The sequence below is a fragment of the Homo sapiens genome, chromosome 1 (assembly GCF_000001405.40).
Source record: "Homo sapiens chromosome 1, GRCh38.p14 Primary Assembly".
Lineage (NCBI taxonomy): Eukaryota > Metazoa > Chordata > Mammalia > Primates > Hominidae > Homo > Homo sapiens.
Window position 1 is genome coordinate 59,687,781 of NC_000001.11, and position 26,109 is coordinate 59,713,889.

The following is a 26,109-nucleotide window of genomic DNA, read 5'->3' on the forward strand; positions in this document are numbered from 1 at the left end:
TATATTTAATTCCTCCTGTTCAAAGACCTAGAGTAGGTCTTTGGGCTACCTAGCTAACTTGACTGGTAGTCCAGCTACCTGACTGGACTCTGACTGATATCATTGCTTTTAACTACTAAAAGAAAAGGTAGTCCTTATAGAGAATTCACTTCTCCTCCTCTCCCTGTTGGAGTGAGCCAAGCCAACTGGAGAAGGGATGGCTGGTTATCATGGAGAGACGTTCACTTGGACTAAAGCTCAAAAGACAATAAATTGACCTAAGCATCTTTGATGAATACTGCCTATACACCCAGCTGAGTTTGGCATTGAGGCCAGGAGCCTCAGGTAGCTTACCCCCTCTCTGAGGAGACAAGATTCAAGTACAAGTCATAGCCAAGCACACTACAAGATAGTGTCTAGTCAGAAGGAATAGGAACTCCTCTTTCTTGAGCCAGAGCCCTGGACCATTCACTATTCTAGGTAAGTAACTATAATAGATATGTGATTATTCTCACATGAAAAATGAGGAAATGGAGGCTCAGAGAGGGCAAGTGATTTACCCAAAGTCACACTGCAATTAAGTAGTGGTCTTAGCAGCTTAAGTCTGTATGTCCTAGAACCTGTTTATGGGACTTATATCTGTTCCTCAAAGTTTTCTAATCTTTTTGTCAGTTTCAAAGCAGATAGTAAGAAAACTACATACATAATTCATATTGCCCTGGTCTTGTAGAAATGACCTTACAGAAACAATATTCAGCCTTATTCACCTAATTCTCAGAACAGGTTTATGTGGAAAGTTTATTGTGTTCATTTTTTACAGATGACAAAGCAGAATCAAAAAAGTAAAGGAATTTACCCAAGTTCATACCGAACGTTCATATTCAACCTGGAATTTGAATGCAGGTTTTTCTCTCCCCAAGCATATGCTCTTTCCACTTGGGGACGTCCAAGAACTGGACCATATGTAGTATAAGACCAAGTGTTTTTTAGAATTTTTTTTTTTTTTTTGAGATGGAGTCTCACTCTGTCGCCTAGGCTGGAGTGCAGTGGCGCAATCTTGGCTCACTGCAACCTCCACCTCCCTGGTTCAAGTGATTCTCCTACCTCAGCCTCCCAAGTAGCTGGGATTACAGGCACCTGCCACCACACCTGGCTGATTTTTGTATTTTTAGTAGAGACAGGATTTCACCATATTGGCCAGGCTGGTCTCGAACTCCTGACCTCAGGTGATCTGCCCACCTCGGCCTCCCAAAGTGCTGGGATGATAGGCGTGAGCCACCTCGTCTGGCCTAGACATTTTTTTAAAAGGTTGGGGAGAAAGGCCAGGTACCCTATCTTCCAGGAACAGACAGTTGGGTTAGAGAAGTATATATAAAGTGACCTGAAACCAGAGAGTGCTGTTGCATAATCTACTCTCTGGTAGTGACTACCAGCAGGAAAGAGTAGCCTGGCTTTGTGTAAGAAATGGGGCTTGAAATGGGCTGGAGTGGAAACATTAATTTAGGACAGGCAGAGAAGCAGCAGGAAGAGGGATTTTTAGATAAAGGTGCTGGTGAGAGCAAAGAAACAGATACAGACAGAACGGAGATCAACGTTAACTCCTGGGAAGGGTCCCAGTTCAGGAGTAGTGAAAAAGAAAGTTGGATAGATAGGACCACAGTTGATTACAGGTAGGGGTTGTTAACCACAAACAGATCAATTAGGAATTTGATCAGCAGTCTTGGGAGTACTTTTTGCTCAGTATTCCCTTATCCTTTAACTGTCTTTTAAAAAAATGTTGCAAGCTGATAGTCTCACTTTAAAAAAAAAAACGTTAAGTCCTTCTTAGATAATACTGCTTTCTGCTTAAGAAAAATAGCTTTTAAATTAGTTCAGCCTGTGAGTAATAATAAAAGTTTATTACTTATCTCTCACAGTTTTGAAGAGTCTCTAAAATAGAAGGGAATACTCTTTAAATGCCCCTAAAGTGCTATCCTCTTTCACTACAGTTCATTTGTGTATAGGGTGTTATAAAATCACACATTTGAGAATTTCAGGATGGAGAAAGCACCTTCTGAAGCAATGTCATTGAGAGATGGGGAGCAAGCCACTTTCTACCAGCTCAAAATCTACTCCCTCCTCCCTCCCCAACCCCTCCCTGACACCTGGGCCTAGAGGAGCCTGTGTGTTGGATAGAGTTGACGGCAGTGAAATTCCTACCAAGTTGGCCCTTTCAGTTTCACCTGTCAGTGTCTCTGATGAAGAGGGATCTTGACAAACCAGACTGGTTTGGATAATTGGACTACAGCAGTTGTCTTCATCTCAGTAAACTGACTAACCACTACAGAGGCTGGAGGAGAAATTTATAGAAAATCCTAAAATGGAAATTGAAGCAAGTGTTTCAATGACTAGGAAACAACAGGCTTTAGTGAGGTTCCAACATATTATAGTATGGTGGGGTGCTGGGACTCCTGTCTTCAAGGGGCCCCTAAAAGTGATAGAGGGGATTCATTTAGTATGCCCCAGCTGCCATTTAAGCACTTTGTGGTTATTGGCTCACTTAGTCCTCACAACGGTCCCATGAGATCCTGATATTAGTTGTACTTTGCACACAAGGAACCTGAATCACCAAGAGGCCACGCGCTTTCCCAAGCTTACATAGCTGGTAAAAGGTGAAGCTCAGATACAAACCCAGATTTTCTGACTCTGTGGTCTGTTCACTGTAAATACTGAAACCCATCTCTATAAAGCTCCTTTGGGAAACTCATCTTGGTGAGGCCCACCTCTACACGGCCCTACCCCCATGTGCCCATCTCTTGCACCGCCCTTAGATGTTGCCATGTTTGCTGATCTCACTCAAGTGTGAGCTTCCATATAAGGGTCCAAGTCTTACTGATCCTTAGCCAGTAGTCAGTGCTGGATACATGTATGCTGTACCAGACTGGAGGTGAAGTTTTACAGAGACTTTGTAATCTTCCTGAAGCTGGCTAAGAAGGCAGCCACCTGTGACTAGTTACACAGAAACCCAGCCACTTAAAGCAGTGGCACTGCTGGGGATGGACTTAGATTTAAAGTCGCTAGCAGGTAAAATCTGACCTATGTCTCCAGAAACAACTTTACTTGTGCACATTAGCTGTGACTGTAAACTGCTGCTTAACGGTTCTCACTTGCTCTAATTTTTCAAAGACTGACTCCCCAGTCATTAGAGTCTGTTCTGTTACTAGTAACTCAGTGGATGATCTGGAACAAGAGGTCTACCTCTTTGGGCCACAGTTTCCTCATCTTTAAACTGAAAGAATCAGATTCTGGTTTTCAAAAATGTAAAGCAGTGGAACCTTTGGGAGGCCAATACAGAAAACAGAAGGTGAACTGTGTCTCTGGCTTATCCATCACACCCTCTTTCCCCACTGCCTGGCAGCCTTGGAGGGTCTTTGCTGAACATAAGCACTGGACTAGATCTTTCCAAAGGAAATAACTGAAAATATTATAATGTTTAATAATGATACTTAATAATTCAATAATAAAGTAACTTCAAAATAGCCTAGCCTACCTTGAGAAAAGCAGGTTGGAGGGCCCTCACCATGGGGTCACTGTGCCTGTCTGTGTTACTGTCAAACATTGTGTGTTCCAGGCACGGAGGGGTGTCAGCTCAGCCTGATAATGTACAGTGGATTGGGGAAGCTAAAGCCTCTGGGCCTCATTCTCCTTGGCTGAAAACAGACTGCGTGTCATGGCACTGGTGAATTAGAAATTCTATCCAGCCACTCTTGGAGATTGATTTTCCGTCTGGGGATCTGACCTCTTGCTTCACTAGCAGAGGGGATCAGACTGTTCTGGGAGGAGTCAACGAGCTGGCCCTCAGAAAAGCCTTCTCTTTCTTTTTTGTTCTTTTTTTTTCTTTTCTTTTTTTTTTTTTTTTAACTGTATGTTTCAAAGGGAAAGTCTGATTACTTTGGGGACTTAACACTACCAGTTTGAATTCTTCTTGGTACTTACAGCCTTAAGATATCCATACACCCCCACATCCGTCCTTTGTGCTAGAAGATTACTGAAGATTTAATTCCATTTATGTCATTGGATTTGTAAAAAACCCCTTTTGGATTCAAAGATGAAGGCCTCACTTACTTTATTTTTGTCATTTTCACAGACCCCTTATGTAAATGCCTCAAGAGTAAGAATCTTGCTCAAGTGATTTTTGTATCTCCAATGGCTAACAAGGAGCCTGACATAGAGTAGCTGCTTGGTAAATATGTGTTCATTCATTCAACAAATACCCCCAAGGTACAACGATAAGAAAAATAACTATAGTCCTAATACTGATCACCTCTGCAGTTGACTGGAAGAGACAGTTAAAAAGATAAGTACAAATAAATGTATCTTGGGTTAAGTGCTATAAAGGAAAAGAACAGGTTCAATGGAAGGAAAAATTAGAATTGTTGATACATGAATGGAAGTAAATGACCCGGACTTCCAACTCTAAATCTCTGTCTCATTTCACCTCTTTGTAAATAATCATTGCTATTATGTTAAATATCACAACTACTGTCATTTCTTGTTTACCCACTACATTCTAAGCTTGGTGCTGACATCTTTGTATTTATTATATAAAATTCTCAAAATTACTCTGCCCGTTAGGCTTTCTTATCACTTATTCCAAATGCAAAAATAAGGTCCAGGGAAGATAATTATGTAACTTGTTCATGATTGGAGAGCTAATAAGTGTCAGAGATGAATTGAACCAAAGTTGGTGTGACAAAGCCTCTGTTTTAAGCAAAAGGGAAAAAAAATTCTCATTAACTCCAAGGATTATCATCAGGAGTCCAACAGGGTTCCCAATTTGGGAACTACTATATCATTATCATATGGCAAATGGTCCACTATGTTAGATGAGAGGACAAAAAAAAAAAAAAAAGTTGGGGGAGAAACTTTGCTGTAGAGTGGGAGGGAAAAAGAGGAAGATAGTCTTCTTGCATGGGCCGTCTTATCAGCCTAGCAATAATAAACTATCACCATAGCAACAGGAAGTCTAATTGATGGCAGATGTTGAGCCACTTTAAAAGCCACGCCAACTGAATGCCAAGCTGATGCTGTAAACCTCTCTCCTCTCCCGCGGCTAGACTAATCATGCTATGGTCATATTGGAGAGACCCATCTTTCAAGGGTGGAAGAAACTCTGGACTTGGCATCAGAAGACTTGAGTCTGAGCCTCACATCTGCCCGTGCTGAGCTCTGTTGCCTTGAGCAAGTCAGTTCATCAAAAGTAGAAGATAGTTATCATTAATTTTATCATCATTATTACTACCAGTAGTAGGAACTCTCTGAAATTCAATTTCACAATCTAAAAGATAGATAATATTTGTGTAAGCATCGTCAGAAGGTTTAAATGGAATAAAAGATGTGGAAGTGCTTAGTAAACTATAAAGTAATTCACAAATACAAAATATTAACACCAAGAGACAGCTTGACGTGCTAGAAAGAGTTTGCATTGGCATCAGACAGATATGGCTGCTTACAGACTGCTTCATCTGAACGCATCACTTACATGCTCAGCCTCAGTTTTCTATCAGTAAAATTTCTTAGTGTAAATCTGTAAAATGTTCTACCCATGTTACAAACCTGTGGCTTAATTAACCTCTCTACACTTCAGTTACTCCTCTGTAAAATGGAGGTGGCACTGGCACCTCCCTCATAAGGTCGTTGTGATGATTAAGTAAGTTAATACAGGAAGAACATTTAGAACAGTGCCTGGCACAGGCAGCGTGTCATACATATTAATGGTGGTAATGGTAGTGGTGGTGGAGAAGAAGAAGAGGAAGGAGAAGAGGAGGAAGAAAGAGCAATTGAAATCATATACGTGCATAGAACTGTGAAAGCTGGTGGTAATGGTAGTGGTGGTGGAGAAGGAGAAGAGGAAGGAGAAGAAGAGGAAGGAAGAGGAGGAGGAAGAGCAGTTGAAGTCATATACGTGCACAGAACTGGGAAAGCTGGCCAGGCTCGGTGGCTCACACCTGTAATCCCAGCACTTTGAGAGGCTGAGGCCAGTGAATCCCTTGAGCCTAGGAGTTTGAGACCAGCCTGGGCAACATGGTGAAAACCTGTCACTACAAAAAATACAAAAATTAGCTGGATGTGGTGGTGTATGCCTATAGTCTCAGCTACTCGGGAGGCTGAGGTGGGAGGATTGCTTGAACCTGGGAGGCAGAAGTTGCAGTGAGCCAATGTTACGCCACTGCACTCCAGCCTGGGCAACAGAGTGAGACCCTGTCTCAAAAAAAGTAAATGGCCGGGCGCGGTGGCTCACGCCTGTAATCCCAGCACTTTGGGAGGCTGAGGAGGGCGGATTACAAGGTCAGGAGATCGAGACCACGGTGAAATCCCATCTCTACTAAAAATACAAAAAATTAGCTGGGCACAGTGGCGGGCGCCTGTCGTCCCAGCTACTCGGGAGGCTGAGGCAGGAGAATGGCGTGAACCCGGGAGGAGGAGCTTGCAGTGAGTTGAGATCACGCCACTGCACTCCAGCCTGGGCGACAAAGCAAGACTCCGTCTTAAATAAATAAATAAATAAATAAATAAATAAATAAATAAATAAATAAAATACTGAAAGCTCCATGTGATACAAGTGAGGACCTCCATAGTCAATGTCAAAATACTTTTGGTCAGTTCGTGGACTGGTTCACATGTCTTATCAGTTTTCTCAAAGTTTCCATTGTCTACATAGCCTTTTTTGTCATGCCCAGTATGCATGCCTGCTCTGATCCTTGGCTATGAAGTTTTCAATGGGAAAGGGACAACCAGGACAAAGAATTGGTAGAAACCATGAGAAATATTTTCTCAGAGACCAAGGTCTCCACAGGCCAGGATTTCTCAGAGTCTTCTTCGATATATTAAAAAGTATTTCTGGAAAAAATTAGTTTGAAAACTGCTATGATGTTCAAGATAACTAGGTGTCTTTTTTTTTTTTTTTTAAAGAGATGGGGTCTCAATGTGTTGCCCAGGCTGGACTCTAATTCTGTGCCCAAGAAATCCTCCCTCCTCAGTTTTCCAGGTAGCTGGGACTATGGATGTACTTCACAGTACCCAGCTCTAACTAGGCGTCTTCATAGCAAGGCATCTGTTAAGACTTTAAAATGTAAACATGCATTGTGAATCTCCCAGGTTGGATAGGCATAGAGAGTATGGTGTTTCCCAAATTTACTTGATCGAAGAATTAGTTTTTCATGGAGCATCTTACTTTGCTAAAGTTTCAAGTACCAAAATTGGGAAATGTTGATGTAAGCCCATAGCCAAGACAATCAAGCCTTAAGCATAGTACCACAAAACAGGTTTGAAAACTCCTACTAATCCTTCCATCAATTCATGTATCTATTTAACAAATTAAAAGAGTTCTATATGTGGCAGTGACTATGTGCTAGATGGTGGAGAAACAATGACAAGCAAGACTAGTATATTCTCTACCCTCTCAGAGTTCTGGTGGGCCTACTGGGGAGAGGGAAAAGTTGCCCACTAATTTTATTGCAATGACAAGTGAAAAGATGGAGAGGACAGGTGCCATGACACCGGGAGCAGCGGCTTCTTACCTAACCTGGTGGGTCAAGGAGAGTTTCCCAGGGAAAATAACTTCTAAGTGGAGACCCAAAGGAGGAGTTACAGCTGTAGGACACATAGGAGCTTGCAACACACTCGCCCATGCATTCCATGTTGTATCCTCATGACAACCTTTCTTGGTAGATGCAATGAGAGTGGTAAAAGTTACTAAGTGGTCATTACGACCTAATGAGTTCCTACTCAATGAGTCAGGCACTGTGCTAGGCATCTTACAAATTTATTGCATATAATCTTGACGGCAATGAGCAGTATCCTCAGTTTACAAATGAGAAGTTGAGGCTCATGGGAGATAAGTGGTTTCCCAACCCTGTACATGTAGTTAGTACAAAACCAGGACTTTCAGATCTGCCTGATTCCAAAGCCCATTACACTGTGGTCAACCAGTGCTGGGCCTGGACCGTGGCTGGTCCATAACAGGGTTTTTACTAGTCAGAAATACGGAAGAGTAAGCAGAATGTCATGAGTTCTTCCTTAAGCTAATTTTTTTCTTCTTAAATGACATATTATCCTGAGATGTCCCCCTCCCAACCATTTGATGTAGAAAGTCCTGTGGGTTTTTTTTTTATATATTACTTGTCAGAGAAAACTTTGAGCTTCTTCTTAGCAAAATAAAAACTTTCTAACCATATGTCAGTCTCCCAAGTCATTTTGGAAGTGTTGCCATCTATGAAATCTAAAAATCATGGAAGTTCTGTGTATGCAACTTTCTAGAACATATTCCTTCTAAAAGTGAGAGAAATATGAACCAGCACATTGCTGTGAGTTCTGCTGGTTCAAAATTGGATGAGTTGCTGAATTCCATGGGCACCAGCAGCCAAAAATGGAGATAAAATAAGATCAAGTGTCATCTTCCAAAATGTACAGACATACCACCAGTGACATTCAGGCATTCTACGTCCTGGTTTATAGACACCCTTTTTCTAAGTTTTAATAGATACTAGAAAAGTACCTAGCATTAAACCTGGGTTTTCATGAACATTTTTCCCTAGAAAATTTTAAAAAGAAAGAAAAGTTTTTTTCCCAGGACTTAAAGAAATATTTTATGACTAATCAATACTATAGGTAGTACTTGAGAAAAGAAAATAATTGTGAAGATAGGACCTGAATTACTAAAATGTGTGAAATAGTACGATAATATGTATAAAAGTGCCTCATGCATAAAAGGCCCCAGTAAATGCTTTCTTCCTCCCTGATTCACATGGTGAGCAAGTGGCGGGGGCCCAGGACTAAACCTCATAGCATCAGACTCCCAGTCCAGTGCTCCTTCCAAGAGGCCTTTCAATTGTTTTCTTTCTGTCTACCTACCTCACACTGTGTCCTTCATCTCTCTGTCTAGCCCCCAGGAAAAGTGCAGCAAGTGCAGGTATTTCTGAAATGACGAGTGGCTCGCAAAAAGGATCTGATGAGTGTTAATAGTAAGCAATGTGTACCTAAGAGTGTAGACACTATTAGCATTTGGAAAAATAGGAATCTGAACTGAGAACTGGAAGGGCCCTTAGAGATCATCCCACACAAACCCTCTTTTTACAGATGAGGAAGTTGAGACCCAGAAACGGGAAGTGCTTTGTGCATGGCCAGAGAGCTCGTTGCTGATCAAACCAGGACAAGCATCCATATGAAACACGCAAATGTAAAATTACATGAAAAAAAAAAACCCTTTACCTCCAGATGTACTGCTTTCCAGAAAAGTGGCGAGGAAATACCACAAAAATACCTTTACTTCAAAAAATTTGAAAATGTTGAAGGTCATGCTTCATATTGTGCCAGGCAAGAGAACATTGTACATAATTGTAAATCACCATTGGAGGAGGTGGTCCTGGTTGTATTCTTTTGTTTGTTTGTAATACACATAACATAAAATTTATCATCTTAACCATTTTTAAGTGTACGGTTTGGTGGTATTAAGTTCATTCACATTATTGTGCAACCATCACCACCATCCATCTCCGGAACTCTTTTCATCTTGCAAAACTGAAACTTTACCCGTTAAACAATAACTCTGCATTGCCCCCTCCCCCAACCCCTAGCAACCACCATTCTACTTTCTGTCTCTGTGAATTTAACTACTCTTTAGATACCTCATATAAGTGGAATCATACAGCATTTGTCTTTTGTTGACTGGCTAATTGCATTTAGCATAATGTTCTCAAGGTTTATCCATGCTGTAGCACGTATCAGAATTTCCTTCCTTCTTGGTTGTATTCTTAATGCAACATAGCTTGTTCTCTGTGATCTGCTGATTATAACCATCGTCGCTGTGAAGACTTTGGCGTGCTTAACATTTTTGTGACTTCTTTCCAGTGGGGGAAATAGATAGCTCAGTTGTGGACGATAGCAGCAATGGGAAGCAGTATTTGAGAAGAAATCAGACTCTCTTCTTCCAGTCTTTTGCAAGTAGGTGACACAAGAGGTAAACAGAATTGCATGCTGTGCCCCTCCACATCACCCCCTATTTTCTTTGTTTCTTCTGCCCAAGGCTTCAGTCAATCAGAGAAGCAATGAGAGTTGAAGATTTTAAAAGTGGGTTTTCAAATAAGACAAGCTTGGGTTCCAGTCCTACCTCTGAAACTTACTAAATATGTGATCTTGGGTAACGTGATTGAACTCTCTGAGCCTCAGTTCTGTAATCTGTACATAGAGATAATAATACTTTTATCAAAAAAGCATGTCTTTTTTTTCCTTCTGATTGATGAGATGCTTTCTGTATTTTTTCTGGATTTAAACATAGTTTCCAAAGTTAAAATATTAATAGTACTTTTCCCTGTCCCATTGGGTTGTTTAGAAATGTAATGTGATATATGACATTTTGGCCTCTCTGAGATGTCTTGTTCCAGCCCAAAGATTATTAGGGAACCTCATGTCATTTGAAAGGGGAGAAAGATAATTTATTGATAAGGTTCTGCATGTCATATGTATCATTTTTTTCTCATCAAAAACACTGAGTAGAACTCTATTATGATACTTGGTCCTTTACTTCATACTTTTCTATCTTCCCAGCTAGTCAGAACCATGCCCACCCCGCAGTTCCCACCCCTTGGTCAGTACCTAGCATTATGCCCAGAAAAACTACAGATGCTTCTTCACACTCCCCTCCAACCCCCACACCCCCATTACCAAAGTGTTTCTATAATGCTCTGGGAATCAGCATCTCAATTCCCCCATGGCCTCATGGTTAAACATACCATTCATTCGACCTCTCAACTGTGACAAAGAAGGAAGCCTGGGTGTAGAAACTGATTTCAGCTCCCCTCTGAAGTTGGGCGTCTCTCTTTGCTGACCACTTGGGAATTTTTTTTTCTTGCTTCTGACCCACCTCTCCCCTTTCTTTTGATAAACAGGACAGCTGTCCCCAAAGGGATGAATCCATTACCTTTCACCAGAGTTGAGTTCGTTTTCCATTTCATCTTTCTGCTTAAAGAGAAAGCCCTTTAAAAGCGCAGCGCATACATTGAGTGCGTGTACTTAATTTTTAATATGTGTGTGCCCACAGCCAAGAGAACAGAGAACCTTAAATAATAATGAAACTGAATTGTACATGTCGTATGTTTTATGTGGCACTGATTCCTAAATATGCTCCTAGCAGCCAGGTATTATTTAATACATCCCCATTAATCAAGCTGCCAAATCTAAATGAAAACCATGTTTAAATATGTTTAATAAGATTATAGCTTTTGGTTGAATATCAAACTAACATAGCTACATTTTTCCTTCCAGCCAGCTCTCATTTACTGTCTTACATTTTTACTCTGAAAGCTTTTGTACTATCAAACCAATCTTGATTATAAAACAAATTATACCACAAACTTTTAGTATCGTGAGCTTCAGCTGAGTCCCTCAGTGTAAATGTTAGGAGAAAGAACAGTTCTGAGATTTTTTTTCTGGCTAAAAAATGATATTTTTCTTCTTCTTGGGGTGAGCCTTTGAGTTTAAAAGGAAATTAAAAATTCAATTAGAGATACTAAATTGTTTGTAGCTTCTGTATTAAATGATGTCTGCCTTTTGCATAGTTATTGAAAGTGTTTCATATTAAATGTACTTTTTCTTTTTGACGGTTCAGGCTTCTGTTAGTTTTGCAATAGTGACACCTAGGGGCTGTAGAGAACATTGCATGGGCTGCTAAAATCTCAAAAACAACCCCTCTGCTCTTTTGCCATGGATAGAAAAAGTATTTGTGGGTCATTGGGGCTGATGGAGAAAGAAGGCAAATGGTACCCTGGGCGAGGTAGGTTTCCAGTTCTATTTACCAGGCTTCCAATATGCAAACAAAAAAAGGAGGTAAATAAAAAGAGGTTTTTATAAAAATAAAGAACTAGCTGAACTTGGAGTAACATACAGTATTCTAGCAGATTTTTAAAGTTATTGATAAAACAACATCATATTTATTAACATGTTTAATTCTCGTTCTTATTTGCAACAGTTTGCCTGCTGTTCTTGCCTTTGTAACAGGCATGTCCCGCGTTGATTGCAGAGAAGTGATGACTGTATGTGGTGCTTTGACTTGTTCTGTGCGAATGTCTCGCTTCTCACATCTCTAATTCTTCTATTTGCCTTGTTCAATATTCTATATCCATATTCACCCTTATAAAGTTGTCATTGAGACTTTTAGCCTATTTGTTCTCTCCACTGATATCATTATTTCTTCTAGCTTCTCAGAGCCCTTACATTTTCTCCATGTTTATATGGCTTGAAGCTTTTAAATTCTTGATCAAAGCAATCATAAATGTGTCTGTTACAAACACATTAAAATTCTTCGATTATATAAAAACTGACAAACAAGTCTTATAAAACTGTTTTTGTACTACATTAAGTTCAAAATAGGTGGCACATGTTTAACTTTGTACACTGTAGGAATTCTAAGAATCATTTCAAAAAGAAAAAGCAAATACAGTGCACAGCAATGCATATAATTCTTATAGATGAGTATTATCTATCTGTCATATCTCTCTGTAAATAATGATGGTGACAATGATGATAGGCAAAGTTTATTGATGTTTTTTATATGCCAAGCACTGTTCTAACCACTTTGCATGAATTAACTCAGTCACCATGGGACAGGAACTGTTATTATCCCAATTTTTACCCACATTCACAGAATGCTTCTGTGTTCCAACAAGGAAACTTCAACAAAGTAGTGCATGAGCTTATCACAGGTCGTGTGCAATAAGAGTTTATGTTATTAGTTTTTCCTTGAACTGCTTGGGAGTCAGTGTCACTTTTCTTAGCCCCATTAGCCTGCCCTCCCTTTGGAGTGTGCACGTCTCCTTTACTGTCTGATACCTGTCTGCTTTCCTCACTGAGTGCCTCTAGCTTTGTCTAGCAACACCTGCCCTCATAGAACTTACATTCAGTTGGGAAGATCCTAAGAAACAGCAATCACAACAAGTAATATTGATTTCAGGTAACAAGAAATGTTACAAAAGAAAGCAAAGTGATATCAGGGAGCAAAAATGGAATGACAGACTGGGTGTGAAGGGCTGGCTTTGTGAGCAGGAGAGAGGCCCTCCTGAGGAAGGGATGTTCGTGGTGAGTCCCAAATGACAGAAAGGACAGCAAGTGCAAAGGCCCTGGAGTGGGAATGAATTGAACATGTGTGAAGGAAAGCAAAAAAAGCAGGGAGGCTGGAATGTGTTGAGTAAGGAGAATACTGTGGGGCTCCTCTCTCTTTCCTTTCTCTGCTGCCAACACTTGTGTTTTCTGTCTCAGACTCTAGTTTCACTGAATTCAAAGAAATGGTTTGGAATTGCAAAATCCTGAGATGTCATCCACTGGGAGTGCTGGGGATAGGGGGACACGTGCAAGAGAATTGGCCTAAGAAAGGTTATACCCTGAGTATCTTCCATATATACCCATAGCCCCACACATTTTTATCTTGCAAAGTCAGTTAAGATGAACATAAGGCAGAAGTGGAATCCCAGCACAGTTCATCCTCAGTGCTCCACAGCACGGAACAGACCTTGGATATCGTACTTCACACAAGTTTGGTGACTCTTTTTTTATGTCTGCCTCTCCACTAGACTGGAAATTGACTGAGGACAGAGCTTATGTCATAATCATTCTTCAGTCATTTTTCTTTCTTGCATTCATTTTATCAGTAAATGCTTCTTGAGTGCCATCTGTGTGCCAACCACTCGTACTAGGCCCATCTATCTCTGCTTGGATAAAATTCCAAGCAAGAAAGATACAGTCCCTGCTCTCAAGTTTCCAACAGTATTGCAGAAGAGGCATACCATAAAATAGCATCATACAGTGTGCTATGCCTCAGCTTTGGGGAGGCAGAGAAAATGTTCCAAAGGAAGTGACAGTTGAGTCCAGTCAGGACTTGGAAGTATAAATAAAGGCGAGTATATGTCTGTATGTGTGTGTGTTTCTGTGTGTTTGGAGAGGGGTATGCATGTGTAGTGGGCCCGAGATGGGAGAGAATGTGTGCAGAATTTTAAACCTTGGGAACAAAGGATTCATGAACTCAGAGGTGAACTCAACTGTGTACTGGATGAAAATGTGAATGAATGAGTACATGAATGTATAAATGAATGAATCAGTGAGTGAGTTTTTCAGAGGCAGCTCATGAAATGGAGATTGTATTAGCGTGTTTTTACACTGCTATAAAGATACTACCTGAGACTGAGTAGTTTAAAAACAAAAAAAGGTTTAACTGACTCACTGTTCTGCATGACTTACAGTCATGGTGGAGGGTGAAGGGGAAGCAGGCACCTTCTTTACAAGGCGGTAGGAGAGAGAGAGCAGGGGAAACTGCCATATTAAAACCATCAGCTCTCGTGAGAACTCCCTCACTACCATGAGAACAGCATGGTGGAAACAGCCCCCATGATCCAATCACCTCTCACCAGGTTCCTCCCTCAACATACGGGGATTACAATTCGAGGTGAGATTTGGATGGGGAGACAAACTATATCAGAGGTATAAAGCCAAAAGGCATTTTTATTAATTTACCCTGAGAAATCACTATTCCAAATTCTGCCCATTATTTCCATGTAGGCAGACTCATATGGAGACCTATATCTTTATCAAAAATGTGCTTGTCAAGTAGATTATTCAGTGACTTATTGGGAGAAAAGGTTAGGCATTCATCTTATTGTAGGGATGGCTTTATCAATGGAACTGCATATAGCTGATGGCCAATATTCATCTTTATCCTGAACATTGCTTAGATGAGAACTATGGGGTAAACAAATGAGTGAAAAAAATAAGTTAAAATGTCAAGGGTGTTCATAGAAGAGAGAGAGGCTGTTAATGTGGTCTAGATGCCAGAGGTGGAGAGCTGGCTTGGAAAGTAGGGACTAGATTCTAGTCTTTGCTGTACTACTCTCTTGTGTGACATTGAGCAACTAGCCATCTTCAAACCCGTAAAGTGGAACTATGCCAGGCAATGTCTAAATTTAGTCTCTATCAGCTCTAGAATTTTGTGTTCATCTTAGTTATACCTGCTGAGGAGGGAGAGGTATTGAATGTGTATGGACACCAGCTGGGCAGCTTCCTCATGGTCCCTGGATGACAGCTTTGTCCTGGGGCACTCAATCCTCCAGAGTACCTTAAGAAGCTGTCCTAATCTGCCATACACTTGGGAGGGTTCTGGCTGTTAACCACCTATGTTGGACACACTGCTGCTATTCTCCTTCCCCACTTTTATCTGTTATTCTAAAGTGATCTGAGAATTTGGCTATTCCTGATGTTGCCTTTTCTTATACTCCACGTAGGGAGCCTCTGCTCAGAGGGTTATTCGTAAAAATTAATGAGATACATGTAAAGCAGCCAGAACAGTACCTGGCACATGAAAAATAGTTTAATACTATTTGTCATAATTATTCCTGCAGCCCTTCATTGTTGCCTTTCTTCCTCAGGTATTTTCTGCCTTGTTCTCCAACAAGCACAAGGGATACAGGGGTAAATAGGATACCATCTCTGTGCTGAGGGGTTTTGTCCAGTGCTATTTACTGAGTGCCTTCCATGTGCCAGGCACTAAGGTTAAATCATTAAGCCCCCACCACAATCCATTGCAATACTCATTATACCCATTTCATCTTCCAGGAAAGTGCATCCCAGAACAGAAAAGTCATGTGACATTCCCAGCATCACACAATTAGTAAATGGCAAAGTTGGAATTGGAGCTCCAGTCTCACAGACTCCAAATCCAGTGTTCTTTCCACCATGTCACCCAGCTACCACAAGGCTGCCATTGCACAGTTTTGAAAGGACAAAGAAGCAGCAGTGCATGATGGAAGTCAGCATAATGGGAAATAAGCTCTCCTTCCCTGGGCATCTACTTCTAACTTGCAGAAGAATAGGAAGGCTAGTCTTGTGAGCCCAGCTCCCAGCAGTCCTTGCTTTAGCCCATCTGAAAAGGATCTGTCTTTAAAAGCAAGGAGCCAGAAAAAATAATTCATACTAAAAACAAACTCTGTCATGAGTCATTTGACTTTGCTTTCCCCTGAACACATAGTTTATGTCTTGGGTGAGCTAAGGCTAAAGGAACATCTGATATGTTTTAGGCTAGCAGAGCCATTATTTAAGGAACTTCACATCCAATGTGCGCCCATTGGACCCTATGGTTTAAATCAAGTCTTCTGCTTATGGGGCCTGACAATTTGTTATTCTTGTTGTAGTTGTATTGGAGTGTGATTGTGTACATGTTTTATCAAGATGACAAGAATCACTCTGGTTCATGATTCAAAAGTTCTCAGGCTGTTGAACTAGCCTATGCAGTAGTTACTCTGAGTATGTGCGCTAGACAGGAATGTGTATATGTGCGCACATGTTCAGATGTGTGAGCACTTACAGAAAGAGAAGAGAATGAGAGAAAGGCGGATTCCAGCTGAGCATCTTACCATTCCTATCAGCAGAAGAGCGACCCAGCCCTGGGGCTGGGTCAGAGGATTTCTCAATCCTGGGAGAACAGCAGATAACCCCGAGCACAAAGCAAGTGTTTCTGTCTCTGTTGCCAACTTGCTTTTCTTTAGATCATTGAAAAATGACAGGAATACACTTACTCTGTAAAAGCACGAACAATGTAGGAATATATAGAGTAAAAGCAAAAGGCACAAACCTCTCCTGATCCCAAAAGTAATCACTATTATGCGTTTTGTATGTCTGTCTTACATTTTTTATGTATTCACAGACATATATATACACATATATATCATATAGTAGAGATTGTATAATAGAATACTATACTGTTTAAATAGTAGAGGATGAAAAAGAGATAACTTTTTTTATCTACAAGATACTTTGGAATATATTAATACATATAAAGCTGCCCCATGTCTATTACATGCTGACAGTAATTCCAGAATCTGCATATATAAAAAACTGTTTAACCAATGTGTTGATAGACCTTTAGGTAGTTTCTAGTGTTTAGCTGTTACAGAGACACAAAGATTATTGTTGGTGTAGTTCTTTATATACAAATATGAGGACTTCTTTTAGAGAAATACAAAAAAAAAGTGGAATTTCTAGTGGAAGGATTTGTGCATTTAAAATTTTGTTAGCTGTGGCCAAAATGTCCTCCAAAAAAGCTGTCCCAATTCGTATTCCTGCCAATGATGTCCCTGTGCCTTTGCCAATGCTGGATATTGTCAGTTGTTTAATATTTTTTGCCAATTTTCGGGCAGAAAATGACTGCTCATTGTTCTTTTCCTTTGCCTTTCCCCATTACTAGTAAGAATGAACATTCTCTTTATACCCATCAAGTACTTTTCTGTTAATGGCCTATTAATATCTTTTCTTCATTTTCCTATAGGGTTGTTTGTCCTTTCCTCATTGATTTAGAGGAGTTCTTTATCTGCTCTACATACCAATTCTTTATCTATCATTACATACTGAAGACATTCTTATAGTATGTCCCTTCTTATCTACCTTTGCTTACAATATCTGGTACCGGAGTTTTAAAACTTCATAAACTTTTATCTGTGAATCTCTTTATGACATCAGAATTTCTTGGAAATGTTCCCTTTAAACTATTTCTTTACTTGAAGCTGTGTTTTTCAGACTGATAATGTTTTAGACTTTTATGTGCCCAAGAGTAAACTTTTATGTGCCCAAGAGTTTTAGACTTTTATGTGCGCAGTAAGGACTGAGGAGGTGAGTGTTTTACCAAGGGCAAAGCTGAGATCAGAACATACCAGGCTGGCAGGTCCCTGTGTTTGTTAAAGACATTCTTAGTAATTTTATCATTAATTATGGGGAAATTCTAAAACTCCATTGGGATCAGCCACAGGCAAATGAGATGCTGCAAGAAGCTGGATACTGAGCATGCAGCCTGAAGTCATCTGAGCGTTGGATCATAACCAGCTTCCTCTACTTACCACTTGACTTTGAGACATAACTTTGCTTCTCTGAGCCTTAGTTTATTTCTCTGTAGAATGGAGCTAATCACAACTTCAAATGACTATTGTGAGGTTTCACATTTCCCATGTTTCAGCACTTGGTATCTGCTCAATACATGTTTGCTTTTGCCTTTTCTGGTTAAAGACCTTTTTTCCCCTGGACCTTTGAATGCAACTGGTCATCTAAAACTATTGACTTCCATCTCTTCTGAGGATTTTTGTAGCCAAATGGTGGAGGCATATCTAGCTTGAGAGTCTGAGGCAATTTCCTGATGATACATCTCAGTGGGCCTAAAGGAAACGAAACACCTACACCATTGCTCAATGCTGGAAAATTCTCCACAGTGGCCGACCCCTTTAGGAGGAGGGAAGCCAGGGCTCTGGGGAACAGCTCCTGTCTACGTGGGTGGAGAGTTCTTTCTTCAAGCATTGTGGATCGTAAACTCACTGAGCCTCCTGCCTGTACAGGAATAAATTTCCCCTGCCTTTGAGATCATCTCCTCTTCTCCTCACCTCAACCTGGCATCCTTCTCTTCTTAAGGCAACACAGCACTAGAGGCTGACTGCCCAGCCTCTTGAGCCAGACTTCCTGGAATTAAAACCCAGCTCTGCCACTCTTTACTTGTGAGGCCTGGAGCAAGTTTCTTAATTACTCTCTGCCTCTGTTTCCCTGGCTGTAAGATGAGAGTGCTAATGTTATCTACCTCACAGAGTTGTTACATGGGTCACTATTTATAAAGTACTTGGCACATAGTACAGTACTCAGGGAGCTACTAATAAATCATATATGGTATCTGAATTTGGGCTTCTCATTTCACAGCCAATTGACTTTGGATAATATGCTTACTCCAAGCTCAGCTCTCTAATTTGTAAAATGAGTATGAAAATATCTACTTCATGGAATTGCTGGGCAAGTCAAATGGGATAATGTGTGTAATGATTGTAGGTACTCAAGAGGTGGTAGCTACTGTGGTGATGAGTATCAAAAAAGACAGGAATGAATATACAGAGACTATCCTAATTCTCAAAAGCCAAGAGACTGGTAGAATGTGGCCTCCACACTCTTAGCCCTGTGACCTTAGACCTAACCTCTTCAACATTCAGTTTCCTGATCTGTAGAATTAGATTGACAATGGTGCCTACCTCTAGGTTCATGATGAAGAAGGAGTAATAATAAATTGGGTTCATAGAAAGTGCTTAATAAAATTAATTATTATTGTTACCTGTATCTCCTGTCCATTTAAGGGAAGATTCCTATTTGTAGTCAGGGGTCCCTGGGCAGAAGTGATGACAGCACAGGCAGAGGGCTGCACCCCCTGCCCTCTCCAACTCTGGGGATATAGCACAAGGTAAGAAAGAGAAGCAAATCTAAGGAAGGGAAATTGAGATCAAAGCCTGGTTTCTATGGATCAGGCCAAAATGATTGAGGGAGAGAGAGAAACACAACTCAGGATGTCCATCAGGATTTATCTGCAGCAGTGTGTCTCATTTTAACTCTTAAAACAGTTTTGTTGGATAGGTACTATTATTTCCAGTTTTGCCTAGCGAAACTGCGAGCTGGAGAGGTTAAGTGACTCGCCTAAGGTCAGATAGCTAAAAAGTAGAAAAACTGGGATTTGAGCCCAAGTCTGTCCAACTCTAAATCCCTAATGATATGCTTTTAATACATGCCTTGCCTCTGCTGGGAATGACTCAGAGGCCAAGCTGTAGGAGGAGGGGGAGAGAGGGATGACTGTGTTTCTCAGGGTGAACAGAGTAGGCAGCCACAGGGGCAGTAGGCCCGGAGCTAACAGGCCTTCATGTAAAAATTTGGAAATTTTGCCTGAAAGACAAGAGAGTGTTTTCAGCTGAGGCCGTTTTCAACTGTACCCTGTGTACTAGGCTGAGGGTAAACCAAAACACAGCCATAAATAGTTCTCCACAGAATTCTCGTCACAACAGCCCACTGTATTCCTTCTGTTTGGAGATGAATGTTGAAACACCATGCATGAAAATGGCTGAGTCTGTTGCTGTTCATGAAGTCTAGTCACAGCCCATTCAAATGAAGCCCCCTTGGATGTGAATAGAGATACGAGAATCAGCAGATGATCAGCCATCATGGACTCTTGACAAATGGCTTTGCCCAAAGAATCGGCATCCTTGGACTTCATACAAAGCAGGCCTTCCCAAAGCCTCTGTTTTGAAGGGACCCAGTCTGTTTGAATAGGTGTTTACCCACTTGCTACAGAATATGTTTGTATACCTGTTCTTTAATTTAAAAAAGTATCAAAGCTAGAAGGGACTTTAACAAGTCATCTAGTCCAATGCATTTAAAAGAAGGGGACATTTGGTTCCAGAGTAGGAGGTAACTGTCCTAAGGTTATATAGAGAGAATCCGAGATGAAATCCAGGGCCTCCTGTTTCTTAGTCTAAAACATGTCTGACTCTGCCCTTGTGAATGCAGCCAATACAGGGACAAAAAGTCTTTGGGCTTCTCTAAAGGGAGGGACTGCAATGTGTTAGAAATGGGAAGGAGGTTATGTTTGCCCTTGGTGCTTTCTACCTTTCCCATCTATTCTTTTCCTCCCATTTCATTTTTTTTTTCCTCATCTGTCAGAACTAACCAGTCTAATGTGCTCAATTTTCATTCCCTAAGAATCAGACTCCCAGATTTCCAGAGTTACTGCTGTTTACCTATTTCAGAGCTTTTCCCTACTTCAACTGGGCTGCCTTTTGAACAATGAAAGGGACCCTAGACCAGGGGAATACCAGGCTCGGCCCCTATTAAGTGGGTCTCCTTGGTTAAGACATTGCCTACCCAAGTGTCAATTCTCAATCTCTAAGGTGCAGGTGAGAAAGAGGAAAGGGACAAATAGTAATTGATCACCTGATACATGCTGAACTCTAATTATATAACCAGACTTAATCTTTAAAGGAGGTTATGTGAGGTGGGTAGATATTATTATCTTCATTTGCAAATGAGGAACTAGATTTCTAGAAAGGTAATTCACGTTCTCAAAGCCATGGAATCAGAAAGGGAGAGAGTTGGGACCTGTACCTAGATTTGTCTGAAAAATCCAAAGTACAGGTTGAGCAGCGCTAATTTGAAAATCTAAATCCAACATGCTCCAAAATCTGAAACTTTTTGAGCACTGATATGACACCCAAATGTCATGCTCAAAGGAAATGCTCATTGGAGCATTTCCAGTTTTGGATTTTGGATTAGGGATGCTCAACCAGTAATTATTTAATACAAACATTCAAAAATCCAAAATTAAAAATACTTCTGATTCCTAGAATTTTGGATAAGGGCTCAACCTTTTAAACTAAACCTGTTTAAGCTGTTTCAAGTTTGCCAAGTAAGAGAAAGTGAGATGAATATATGTGTTCATACACACACATACACACACACGCGCGCGCGCATACACGTCCTCACTCTGTATTAGTCCATTTTCACACTGCTATAAAGATACTACCTGAGACTGGGTAGTTTATAAACAAAACAAGTTTAATTGACTCACAGTTCCACATGGCTGGGGAGGCCGCAGGAAACTTACAATCATGGTGGAAGGTAAAGGGGAAGCAGGCACATTCTTCACAAGACAGCAGGAAAAAGAGTGAGTGCAGAGGAAACTGCCACTTTTAAGCCATCAGCTGGCATGAGAATTCTCTCACTATCACAAGAACAGCATGAGGAAACCACCCCCATAATCCAATCACTTCCTACCAGGTCCCTCCCTCAATACGTGGGGATTACAATTTGAGATGAGATTTAGGTGGAGACACAGAATGAAACTATATCACACACACACACACACACACACACACACACACACTGGAAGAGTGCTTTCCAAACTATGAAATGCCGCCCACAGGTGGACAATTAGCCACCCAGTCCAGGCCAAGAATGAAGTGGCTGTCAGCATGCCACAGCCATCACACAAGGAATCTACTTGCAAGTGAGAGGAGCGGAGGAAACATTTAGAGGCAAGCACCTATCAGTTAGGTCAGTAGTTCTCAAATGTCACTGGAGGGCCACTGCAGGCAGGGCTGGCTACAATTTGTATATCCCCCAATTTGTGGGACCCAGTGCAAAATGAAAATGTAGGTCCCTGACCAGGGACAGGAAAGTCACTCCTTCCAACAGGCCTTCTGTCTCAACCTATGGCTGACAGGTGACTTCCAAGGCTTTCCAAATTCTACATGGAACCCCTCTGTGTGTTGTCAGCCTGACACTCCATGGCAGTGGTAGCCAGCTGGGGTCACTGCCTTGACCCACCCTGAGACACAGGGGGCCCAATGTCTGGCCTGACTCTTTCCACACCTATGCTCATCTTTATGAGGAGAAGAGCAAGAGCAAAACATGCCCCCACCCCTAGCCATGTAACCCTGCCACCAACTCACAGATGTGTGGTCAGCAGTGGGATGGGGCAGCAGAAGACAGGGAGTGGATGGCCAAGAACTGGCCCTGGAGACTAGCCCCATTGTTCCATCAATTTTTCACCTATAAAACACAGATTCAAAGATAAAATAGGATTCCTTATTTAATAAATGGTGTTGGGAAAACTGGCTAGCCGTATGCAGAAAACTGAAACTGGACCCCTTCCTTACATCTTATACAAAAATTAACTCAAGATGGATTAAAGATTTAAATGTAAGACTTAAAACCAGAAAAACCCTAGAAGAAAACCTAGGCAATACCATTCAGGACATAGGCATGGGCAAAGACTTCATGACTAAAACACCGAAAGCAATGGCAACAAAAGCCAAAATTGACAAATGGGATCTAATTAAACTAAAGAGCTTCTGCACAGCAAAAGAAACTATCATCAGAGTGAACAGGCAACCTACAGAAGGGGAGAAAATTTTTGCAATCTATCCATCTGAAAAATGGCTAATATCCAGAATTTACAAAGAACTTAAACAAATTTACAAGAAAAAAGCAACCCCATCAAAAAGTGGGCAAAGAATATGAACAGACACTTTTCAAAAGAAGACATTTATGTGGCCTACAAACATATGAAAAAAAGTTCATCATCACTGCTCATTAGAGAAATGCAAATCAAAACCACAGAGATACCGTCTCAACACCAGTTGGAATGGTGATCACTAAAGTCAGGAAACAACAGATGCTGGAGAGGATATGGAGAAATAGGAACACTTTTACACTGTTTTTGGGAATATAAATTAGTTCAACCTTTGTGGAAGACAGTGTGGCGATTCCTCAAGGATCTAGAACTAGAAATACCATTTGACCCAGCAATCCCATTACTAGATATATACCCAAATGATTATAAATCATTCTACTACAAAGACAAATGCACATGTATTTTTATTGCAGTACTATTGACAATAGCAAAGACTTGGAGCCAACCCAAATGCCCATCAATGTTAGACTGGATAAAGAAAATGTGGCACATATACACAATGGAATACTATGCAGCCATAAAAAAGAATGAGTTCATGTCCTTCGCAGAGACATGGATGAAACTGAAAACCATCATTCTCAGCAAACTAACACAGGAACAGAAAACCAAACACCACATGTTCTCACTCATAAGTGGTAGTTGAACAATGAGAACATATGGGCACAGGGAGGGGAACATCACAGACTGGGGCCTGTCAAGCAGTCGGGGGAAGGGGAGGGATAGCATTAGGAGAAATACCTAATGTAGACAACGGGTCGGTGGGTACAGCAAACCACCATGACACATATATACCTATGTAACAAACCTGGATGTTCTTCACATGTATCCCAGAACTTAAAGTATAATTTAAAAAACAACAACAAAGAAAGAATTGAAAGAAATTGACTGCAAACAATTAATGCCCAGCTTGGGCTCTTTCTGGATAGAGCTCTGTGCATTGCACGGGTGTATTAGTACATTTTCATGCTGCTAATAAAGACATACCCGAGATTGGGCAATTTACAAAAGAAAGAGGTTCCATGTGGCTGGAGAGGCCTCACAATCATGGCACAAGGCAAGGAGGAGCAAGTCACATCTTACATGAATGACGGCAAGCAAAGATAGAGCTTGTGCAGAGAAACTCCCATTTTTAAAACCATCAGATCTTGCGAGACCCATTCACTATCATGAGAAGAGCACAGGAAAGACCCACCCCCATGAATCAATCATCTCCCTCCAGGTCCCTCCCACAGCATGGGGGAATTCAAGATGAGATTTGGATGCGGACACAGCCAAACCATATCATTCCACCCTGGCCCCTCCCAAATCTCATGTCCTCACATTTCAAAACTACTCATGCCTTCCCAACAATCCCCCAAAGTCTGAACTCATTTCAGCATTAACTCAAAAGTCCCCAGTCCAAAGTCTCATCTGAGACAAGGCAAGTCCCTTCTGCCTATGAGCATGTAAAATCAAAAGCAAGTTAGTTACTTCCTAGATACAATGGGGATACAGGCATTGGGTAAATACAGCCATTCCAAATGGGAGAAATTGGCCAAAACAAAGGGTCTACAGGCCCCATGCAAGTCCAAAATCCAGCAAGGCAGTCAAATCTTAAAGCTACAAAATGATCTCCTTTGACTGTGTCTCACATCCAGGTCACACTCATGCAAGATGTAGGTTCCCATCATCTTGGGCAGCTCTGCCCCTGTGGTTTTGCACGGTACGACCTCTCTCCCAGCTGCCCTCACAAGCTGGCATTGAGTGTTTGCAGCTTTTCCAGGCGTGCAGTGCAAGCCATCAGTGGATCTACCATTCTGGAATCTGGAGGTCGGTGGCCCTCTTCTCTCAGCTCCACTAGGCGGTACCCCAGTAGAGACTCTGTGTTAAGGCTCTGACACCACATTTCCCTTTGCACTGCCCTAGCAGAGGTTCTCCAAGAGGACCTCACCCCTATAGCAAACTTCTGCCTGGGCATCCAGGTTTTTCCATACATCTTCTGAAATCTAGGCAGAGGTTCCCAAACCTCAATTCTTGACTTCTGTGCACTGGCAGGTTCAGCACTACATGGAAGCTGCCAAGGCTTGAGGCTTGCACCCTCTGAAGCCACAGGCCAAGCTATAGGGACGCAGGGCACCAAGTCCTAGGCTGCACACATCATGGGGATCCTGGGCCCGGCCCACAACATCACTTTTTCCTCTTAGGCCTCCAGGCTTGTGATGGGAGGGGCTGCCATGAAGACCTGTGACATGCCCTAGAGACATTTTCCTCATTGTCTTGGGGATTAATATTTGGCTCCTCGTTACTTATGCAAATTTCTGCAGCCGGCTTGAATTTCTCCTCAGAAAATGGGATTTTCTTTTCTATTGCATTGTCAGGCTGCAAATTTTGCAAACTTTCATGCTCTGTTTTCCTTTTGAAACTGAATGCCTTTAGTAGCACCCAAGTCGCCTCTTGAATGCTTTGCTGCTTAGGAATTTCTTATGCCAGATACCCTAAATCATCTCTCTCAAGTTCAAGGTTTTACAAATCTCTAGGGCAGGGGCAAAATGCCACCATTCTCTTTGCTAAAACATAACAAGAGTCACCTTTGCTCCCATTCCCACAAGTTCTTCATCTCCGTCTGATACCACCTCAGCCTAGACTTTATTGTTCATATCACTATCAGCATTTTTGTCAAAGCCATTCAACAAGTCTCTAGGAAGTTCGAAACTTTCCCACATCTTCCTGTCTTCTTCTGAGTCTTCCAAACCGTTCTACCCTCTGCCTGTTACCCAGTTCCAAAGCCGCTTCCACATTTTTGGGTATCTTTTCAGCAACACCCCACTCTACTGGCACCAATTTAATGGGTGACACACTCGTGCAGCTGGTCCCCACTGCAGGTCCTTCACAAAGCTTCACTAGTCCATGAGAAATGAAACAATAAGGACAGGGTATTGAGATTTTAACAAAATTAAATGTAGACTATTTAAATGATTCTCCTTTATTCTGATATCATGATAACCACTTTTTTGGTATTAAAATCTCCTTTTGGTTATGAAATAATGGTGAGAGTAAATATGGAGCAGTTGCTTTGTTTAAAGTCCTTATATAATCAAATAAAAAGCTGACAATTATGTTGTAGATCTCCAAAAAGTTTGAATATTTTATTGGTCCAAAGTTTGAGAACTCCTACTCTAAGACTTTCAAGAAGATGGCCCTTCCCACATGTGGGGCTGGAACCTCTTCCCCTTTCACTATCATCAGAAAGGCTTCCGCCCTGGATACAATTAGTATTTGTTGCATACTTCAGTATTTTCTAGGTATATCTTTGCTTT

The 26,109-nt window shown here is 41.3% G+C and overlaps 1 protein-coding gene across 56 annotated transcripts in view; it reads left to right on the forward strand.

The window, feature by feature from the left end:
* The window catches only part of FGGY (FGGY carbohydrate kinase domain containing), a 466,353-nt gene that overhangs the window by 391,403 nt on the left and 48,841 nt on the right, over window positions 1–26,109 (forward strand). Inside the window, exons 16-17 of one of the 56 annotated variants that reach the window (NR_103473.2) lie at window positions 9,868–9,960; window positions 10,905–11,614. The exons of the other annotated variants lie outside the window; for them this stretch is intronic. The gene's annotated coding sequence lies outside the window, so the exon portion shown is untranslated. Of the gene's footprint in view, window positions 1–9,867; window positions 9,961–10,904; window positions 11,615–26,109 lie in introns of those variants that run through there. 56 annotated transcript variants of the gene reach the window in all.